Below are 8793 nucleotides of genomic sequence, written 5' to 3'. Positions count from 1 at the left end.
TGATCAGTTATATATGGGAAGCAAGGTTCTGTGAAACAATCACAAACAATAAAGTCAATAATCTGCAAATTATGGACATTGATGCTTTTTAAGATTAGAGTAATAAAAATAGCTAATCACTGTCTTATGTCTTTTTATCAAAAATCTTAGACAATGAAAATTGTGAAGGTATTGCTTTCATCTTATGTTGCTGATCTTTCATTTGCTACACAGCAATTGTTAGGTTTAAATATGTGAGATGAAACATTTCTTTCAATAGACTTAATGTTAAGCACTTGAGTGAAAACATGAGTCAAATGTTTTACATTAATTTTCCTTCCTCCCTCCAGTAATGTAAGATTTTTGTGACCTGAAAGTTATGCAAATTTGCAAGTAGGTTAAAAAAGAAAAGTAACCTTATAGAAAGAGATCCTCACAGTAATTATTCTGATGCTTCATTTGTTTGCAATTTTTTTTTGGCTATAGTTTGGATGAAAAAAATACAAACCTCCTTTTATATGGCTTTAGGCTTTGTATTTATTTATTTTTTTAATTTGAACCAACCATTCAAAAATGACATGAAAAATCTGTCATTTGTTACAAATTAATTAATCAAAAAGTTAATAAGAACTCTTATAGCTAGTAAAAGAACCGCTTTAAACAAGGTGAAAACAATCAGGATAAAAAAAATTCCCATATAGGGTAAAATGCACCCACAAATAAGTAAGGACCAATTGCTACTCAATGCACAAAAATAAGCAAAGATTCAAAAGCAGAGATAAAGCTATTAAGAGTAGCTTTATCCCAAAGGTAATTATTGCTAATGCTTTTTAGGATGGGAAAAAATCCTACAGTAACTTTCAGTATGAATCTCATACTGAACCCCTATAACAACTTTGATGTGTTCTCACTATAACTCGGCTAATAGAAAAGGCATCCTGCTTTCTAAATATCACACCTGCAGTTGTCTACTCTTGGGAATCATTCAATTCATCAGTAAACACAACCCACATGCATCAAAAGTTTCCACTTTTTCCAGCTCTTTTTAACACTAGGATCCCTCCCCTCTCCCCAGGCTCCTTGCAGCTATCTAGGGAATCTTTCACTTTTTGTCCTTTCCCGACCCTTCTGGACCACATTTTCTCTTCTTATTCAGGCCATCTGCTCTCAAGGAAGGTAAAAGTTCTGCTAGGAAAACAATCAGCATCCCTAGCCATTAGTTGCTTTTGTGAAATATCCTTTTAGCCACTGCCTATGAAGACATACATTGTGCAAATCACAATTCAAATTATGATGGTCGTTTAAAAATAGTTTGTAATTGATACATTTCTGGCCAGAGCCTCCCCCTTTACTCTGGTAGTGGTACAATCTCCTTGTTCTTGACAGAAGTCTTTCTAAAGGCCTGCTCAAGCCTCACTAAGCAGCTGTGAGTTAGGTCATTTTCCCAGGAGTTTTACATGTGGAAAACTGGGCATTAGTAAGGCCTCAAAAAGGACACCATCTGGCCCTAGTGAAAAAAAGGATCATGACACTTCCTGTGGTACCAACAGACCCTGATGAACCAGAAAGGAATTCAGTCCTGGACTGTGATCCAATAGAGACCGGCCCCACAATCACCTCCGTGACAGCCAACTCCATTCATCTTAGCAGTTATCTCATAGCACAATGGACTTTTGTGCCATGCTGTTTACTGGAGGCGGAGTAAAATCCATTTTGATTTTTGTGTTTAGTCTCAGTGCCTGTCCTCTTTCCTGGAACACATACCACATCAGGAGAGACTGAGCTGCACAAAGAACAGTTCTTTCGGTTCCCATTCAAACTTCTTAATTTCCCTCCCACTGTACATGGGGCATAAGAATAAAATGCTGGACTCTTCAGAGGCTTCAGAAAATACCTTTTCTTGACATGAAGAGCCTCTCCTCCCACTTTCAATAAAATTTTTTGAAACTATTGAAATCAATCACTTTTTTCAGAGAAGAAAATTTAAATTTAAACAGATAAAGAAATTATTACTAGAAGTGTTTCACTGACTCCATTTAGTGTTTGTGTGTTGAAAGATTCTGTTAAAAACTACAGCAACAACATCAAGTAAACCAGGTTTTCTTTTCTGAAAAGAGAAGTGACTGACCAAAGCAATAGGAGGGTGAATGCTGGTGACATCTTACATTGTTCTATAGTTGTTTTCAGCTTACAAAGTCTTTTTATATTTTCCTTTTCAAAAGATAGAAATGGGGCAAGTTGGATTAATACAATCAAATCTTTAATTGTTAAACTTTTTTCTTTGAAGATATTACAAAACAAACAACAAGGAAACCTCTTAATTAACTCATTCTCAACAACTACATGTATATACTTTTTAAACGTAAAATATTATTTACGGTGGCCGATTACAGACCCTGAATGTGGTCATCTCAAAAATGAACTGTTGCCATTCAGGATAAATAGGGGCTTCCATCTGAGGGCTTTTATGTCATGTGGGCGGCAGCACAATGGGGAGGAGATGGCTGTAAAGGGAAGGTGCTTTCTTAGGTCCGAGAGCTCTCTTCTCAATTCTAACCAGATTCATCTTCATTATCCACCTTCCATCTTTTTTTTTTTTTTTTTTTTAATTCTTGCAACCCTATGATACTAAACCTCATTTTGTCTGCCACTGGGGCTTCGTCTGTACACAGATCTGAATCCTCCCCCACTGTTGGAACCTTCAATAGAAAGCCATATTGCCACACAAAGGGACTTGGGGGTTAAAGAAAACGGTTAAGGCCCATCGTTTTATTCTCAGAATTTAACTTGGGGAGGGGAATAGAGAGGCTGCTCTTCTTCCAAATAAATTTCTCCTGCCTCAATTTTGAAGAACTTAAAAAGCCAACACAGAATGAGTAGAACTTAATGAAGGAAAACATTTTTCTGACTCTCAGTCCCTGATGGAAATGATCAGGCTCTATTGTGGGAAGACATAGCTGTTCCTCACTTATTAACATGTGTGTCCAAGGCCTAATTATAGGCATTCTCTTTTAATGTAGAATTGTCACCATTGGTGTTATTCATAAAGTGCCCATTGTGAGAAGTTCAAAACCGCAACCTTTATCTGTAGTCATCAGTGAATTTTCTCTGGATTCTGTAACCACTGGCAGCATATTATGACTACAAAGCCCAAGTTTTTGTGTATTACACTCCTCGTGTAATAATGAAAATGCCTGCAAGTAACAGCTTGATTAGAAATGAAGTGGGGCGGCAAGTGGGGGGCGGGCAGAGGGGAGAGTAGAGAGAGTTTCTATTTTGAAAGATCTAAAGCAGAGTATGAAACAGCCAGCATCCTCTTGCTGAAATGTCTGCACAATTACGCACACAGTTATGAGTTACAGTCTTTCATATGATGTGTCTCACAGCTTAAGTAAGAAAACTACCAAGGAAACTTTGAGGTAAGGGCCAGCAGTTAGGGCCACAGACCTCAGTGCCTGAAGGCTGGTTGAAAAGAGTAGGCGAAGCTGAGCCACGAGGCTCAGGGAGGGCATGGGATGCAGATATTTGGAAAACTGCCTTTGAGGTAGCAGAGGCAATTCCCTAAAACAGAAAGAAAAGGAGAAGAAAAAGGAGTAAGCTCACCAGGAGGAGGAGGAAGCCCACAGTTTCCTCAGTGCTGCTGAACATAAAAGCCACTTAGATGCTAGAAAAGGGGGTGAAAAATCCAGACTTACACAGGCACATAAATGTTCAGTAATTTGGGACACAGACTCATTCTTTCCATAAAGATCATAAATACTCCCTGTAAGAGTAATGAAGTTTATTTTTTTCTTTTTTAAACAAAAGAACCATTGAACACCCCATAGGTCATAAAATAATTAATTTTACCTATTATCTCTTCGGCCACTTTTCTTAGCATTGATTTTTACATCATTAACATGTTTGCTTAGTATTAAATAATTTTAGGGGACTAAAATGTTAATTAAAAATATAAGTGACATCTCAGTTGCTAGGAAGGCCAGTGAGAACATTGTTTTAAACTGGAGGCTTGTGCGGCTCCCCCCACCCCACAGAAGCTCTGTTTTAAGGCAACAGTTTGCTAGGAAGAAAACGACAAAACCAGAAACAATTTGCTCCTTAAAGGATTTGAGAATGCTTATGTTGGAGGCTTACAAAAGCGGCGTTATGTCCTTGAACATTCTAAAGATCATTGTTAATAGGATCAATTTTTGTGTGTTATTCAGCTGGATCGTTCGTAGATTGTAAGAACTGCATTTTAGTAGGGCACATGGTGGTGATGGGGGTGGGGGTGGGGGGAAAGGGAAGGCCCAGCAAATTCCATGTGATCAGTTCAGCTGCAATAATCTCTTTTCTCCTTCTTGACGAAGCCACACATGAGAGCACTCTGGTGTCTTTCATCATTATTTGTCACCCTTTTGTGCAAAACAACTTATATCCACAGCCATTCCAGCAATTAAAATGAAAAAGAACCAAACAGTATTCTCATTGAATACTCAGAGGCCAGTGCCACCAAGTGCCATCCAACCTATTGAATGTCAGATACCTAATGCCATTAGAGCTCTGTAAGTATTTTGTGAAAAAATAAATAAATAAATTGTTACATGCAGAATGTAGAGAATGATTTACAAAGATAAAATCTTTTAATGCCCTGGCAACAGCTAGATCATCTGTAACAGACTCTCAGTGACAATGTGAAGGAGAACTAAGCAACCGACAGGGATTCAGACTCACTTCAAAAGACTGAGAACTTTGAATTTTGGTAGACAAGTAGTCACAGGGTAAAGTCAATTAAACAAGAATAAGTTAATTTTGTTTCTGTTGAAATATTCTCTGAAAATCACAATGAACATTTTATTAGCCTGATTTTTATTAAATACTTCTCCAAAACTATAATGTGCCACCAATTCCAAGAAAAGTACACTTTCATTCCTTTTTCTGAAAAAGGGCAAACTCAAAGAAAGTAAAGATAAACCAACTTCCCCAATACCACAGACAGAGAGAATCAGGGTTGAGGAATGATGATGCCTTGGGCAGTGGTGTTAATTTTGGACCACACACTCCAGGAAAAGAAGAACCAGGAGGGAGATTTTCTCATTCCATATGCCACATATTTTTATGTGATTTCCATCTGAAAACTTTAGGGTTACTACAAGATCATCAATTTTGAATCAATGTATTTGTTATTCTATTCGGGTGTCATTTTTAGAAAATATTATTAATAATGTTCTCTGAAATACCAAGAATGTACTTTACTGAACATTGTAATACAAACTACTTATAGATCCTTGTTCTGCATTACAGTTTGGTTAGAAAAATATATGTTTAAAAACGTAATTAGCATTTAAGGTAACATGTTGCTGAAATTCTGAGGAGGTATCAAGAACTTGAGTAGACAAAAAGAACCTTCTGGAGAATGTCCTGATAGACGAAGGAAGCAAAAGAGAGCCTGAGTGAGCAAAGGGCCAAGGCATGTCAGAGATGGCAAAAGTGATTAAAACCTAGTAAGCACCTTATACCAAGACACTCCCACCTGCACAGCAACGTCTAGAAAGGGCTTCGTTCTCTTATTGCAATTTTGATGCTGAGTAAACCTGTTTATCTAATGCAGAAGGGTTGGAACCAGAATTCCCAAATTGTGATTTGTACTTTTATGCTAGGGGCAGTGGAGTCACTGAAGGGTTGTCAGCAACAGTAGACTGTCTTCGGCTGACTTGGACACAATCATTGAAAATGGCCAAATGCTGAGGGCAGAGGTGAGGCATATAGTTCAGTATTGCAGGAGAAGGAAGTGAGAACTGTTATTTTTCCCACCACATGAGAGAAATGTCAGAAGAGCTTCCCCCAACATCCCAAAGATCCCCATCAATGATCTTTAGGACCACTTGGGGTGGTTGAGGGCTGGCCAGATTGTGGTCCCAAAAAGCCCATTTTGTGTAACACTCTCAGGGTGCATCATGACTAGGAAGAAAACAGCAGATACTGGACGTTTCTTCCCTTCTCCTAAGCTGGGATTTGGTAACAATCTCTTTACAACCTTTTGGGAATGCAAAATTCTAGAATTGGAAGAGTAAACTTTTATACTTAACATTCTTCCCCTGTAATTTCATAAAGAAACCTGCATGGGGAGTCACTGTGGCTTTTACAGATCACTTTAAAGTAACTACATAACGTTTATAAATGGCAAAGATTTCAGATGAAGCCCTGCTAAGGTTCCCCCAAAATGTCCTTGTTTCTAAGAACAATAATAATAACAACAACAAAAGGAATTGGAATAAATTAAGTAGCTAGCCTGGGTTGGTGCAGGTGGTTCTGCTGCTGAATAATGATTGAGTATGTCCCTTTAAAGTGACCATATTTTCTTGGTGCATTTTGTTTTTGGCAAAATATATGACTTTGAGATTATCAGTAGGGAGTAGCTGGCAATTTGGCTTTAATTTTTGTAAACTTTCTTGAATGCTTAATTGTTTGCTAAGATGTCAGCTGCAAGATTAGTGGAGCTGGAAAAAAAAAAAAGCCTGCATTCACATTGGCCCTATGTCTATTTTCAGTGTGAAAGGAACTGGCTGGAGAGTGTTGCAAACACTTGAAGCTATGCATTCTGCATTACAATGAAATGGTGCTGTATTACACAATACCGAGGGTTTCTTTCTTTTTTTTTTTTTTAAAGGGCATCATATCCAAGCCCTTTGAATGCACAGCAAGAGCAACAGATGACAAATATTAGGATGTGCTAAATGCCAGAACAATTACATTAAAATGGATTTCTTCCAGAGTGAATCCTCTCCAACTTCTATTTGGTAAATAATTAGATTGAATACACAAGGACTCTTAAAAAATACTGGAAGGAAGCTGAGTCAGGATTTTAAAAAACAAACTAACTTATCTTTACATCAAGAAAATGGTGTCTGGCGATGTATCCACAGATCAAATGTGTACAGGTCTCATGAAATTTATGAAGGTGTCATTTAATGTAGTCTTCTACCTATCTGTGAGAAAGAAAAATGTCATGAAGTATACTCACAGTTTGAGTTTCTTTTCCATATCTTTTAGTTATTGTAAATACAGGACCTTTAACTTTCTTGTACTAGGGGAATCCCTGAAAATGATGCATTTACTTCCTCTCTCAATAATTCTTTTTTCAAAGAGCAATATGTATTATTTTTAAAGTGAAAATAAATGAAATTTAGCAAAATCACTTAGCACTTTAGGAACAAATAATAAATACATCTGTAATGCAATTTAAAATGTCTAATTATATTTAATTCTAGTGAAGTAAGCAGAGTTAGGACTGAAACGTCCAGTTCTTTATCCACAACTCCAAATCAAGCACGCAAATATGTTTGCTATCTGATGCATGGTAAAGAAAGGAGTTATTGAAACTTATATAAAGCATATTTTAATATTCGTGGGCTTAGAGCTCTATTTTCTAATGTATATTTTCTATTTAGCTTCTGTGATCCCTTCAGGTGGAAATATCTTTTCTTTTGGACTTCCATAACACTTCTGATCTATGAGACATTTGGCAGTTGTTATATTTTGCTGTGTTAGCTACTTTATTTTGGTGGTGGTTGTAAGGGGGAGCTCTGTTTTATTTATCACAAAGCACAGAGTCTGACATATAGTAAATGCTCAATAAATATTTGTAGCGTGAAGGAATGAGAGCATGAAGGTTATGTGTATGTATTTGATCTCCTGAAAAAGCATCCAGCTCCTGGAGGGCAGAGAAGGCACGCTACACTTTTGTTGCCTTGCCCCTGGCACCTGGTGCCCTGCTGTGACAGATTATACGGTAGAGTGACAGCATACATTTGATAGTGACAATAACTACTATGAAGAGGAGAGACCAAGAGAAGAGATGAAGCCAGGGAGGAAATAGAAGAGAAGAGAGAGACAAAACAACAAAAAAGGAAAAGCTAGTGCAGAGAACCAAGCTCAGGTCCAGCTTCACCCTTGTATTAACTCAAACTTTTCCCTGTTTTAGTCAAAGGGGAGATGAAAAGCATGAGAGGAGGGAAATTCAGAAAGTAGAAGAGCACACATTATGCCTGAGATTGTGATCAGTATTCCAAATTTACCAAACCACTTGCCAATGTATGGATGGCAAATATTTTTAAACAGTTCCTAATTTAGTAAACTTAAACCATTATTTTGTATTCTAAAGTTATTGGGAAATTGAAGTTTATTAGATATTGTAGAGAATTTCAAAGAAGTAATCCATAAAACTTGAGAAAGTATAATTATTTTTTCCTAATGAGTACACTTAACAGGCTACAAACTCTCAAATGTGATACATTTGGCAAAGAATAGGCCCTGTCATGAAACCTGAAAGAGGTCTATGCCATTATTAATCTGCTACCCAGGCAACACTTTTTGGGCCTTAATGAATAGCCTCTAATTGGCTGGGATTGGCCCACATACCCAGGAGCTATTCACAAAATACATTTTCATCCCCCAAACTTCACATCTTTCTTGCATCTGCCATAGAGGAAGATTATCCTGCTCGCATTATAGCACGGTTTTACTAGTTATGACAATGACTGATATAAGTAATTACTCCATTAAGATTTAAAAATATATATTTATGATTGTATACATATAATATAAACATACTAATAAAAAGAATAATTATTGAATTACAAATAACTTTGATAGTAAGGGACATGTATATTCAAAACATAGATCACTGATTCTCGGAGCCTAGATAACACAGCTACTCAGAAAAAAAAAAAGGTACTTTCTTTTTCATTGTTACAAAAAACAAGATGTGAGAAGATTCTATTTTTATGTGTTTAATAATTGACCTAAGGGTTAAGGAGGGAATCCTTTGATTCA

General features: G+C 36.9%; 2 annotated features.

Annotated features, from left to right (window-relative positions):
- Nucleotides 539–2221: an enhancer, noted in NCBI's record as "VISTA enhancer hs1085". NCBI's record gives its function as "enhancer in: neural tube[7/9] | midbrain (mesencephalon)[5/9] | forebrain[7/9]" and the evidence as "EXISTENCE:transgenic organism evidence [ECO:0001131][PMID:17130149]".
- Nucleotides 6271–6814: an enhancer, noted in NCBI's record as "OCT4-NANOG hESC enhancer chr6:99084768-99085311 (GRCh37/hg19 assembly coordinates)". NCBI's record gives its function as "activates a minimal SCP1, AML or CMV promoter by ChIP-STARR-seq in primed H9 embryonic stem cells {active_cell/tissue: H9 hESC(primed)}" and the evidence as "EXISTENCE:reporter gene assay evidence [ECO:0000049][PMID:30033119]".

The sequence above is a fragment of the Homo sapiens genome, chromosome 6 (assembly GCF_000001405.40).
Source record: "Homo sapiens chromosome 6, GRCh38.p14 Primary Assembly".
In the NCBI taxonomy this organism is placed as follows: domain Eukaryota; kingdom Metazoa; phylum Chordata; class Mammalia; order Primates; family Hominidae; genus Homo; species Homo sapiens.
Note: the sequence above shows the minus strand (reverse complement) of the source record. Positions and strands in the feature narration are given on the sequence as shown.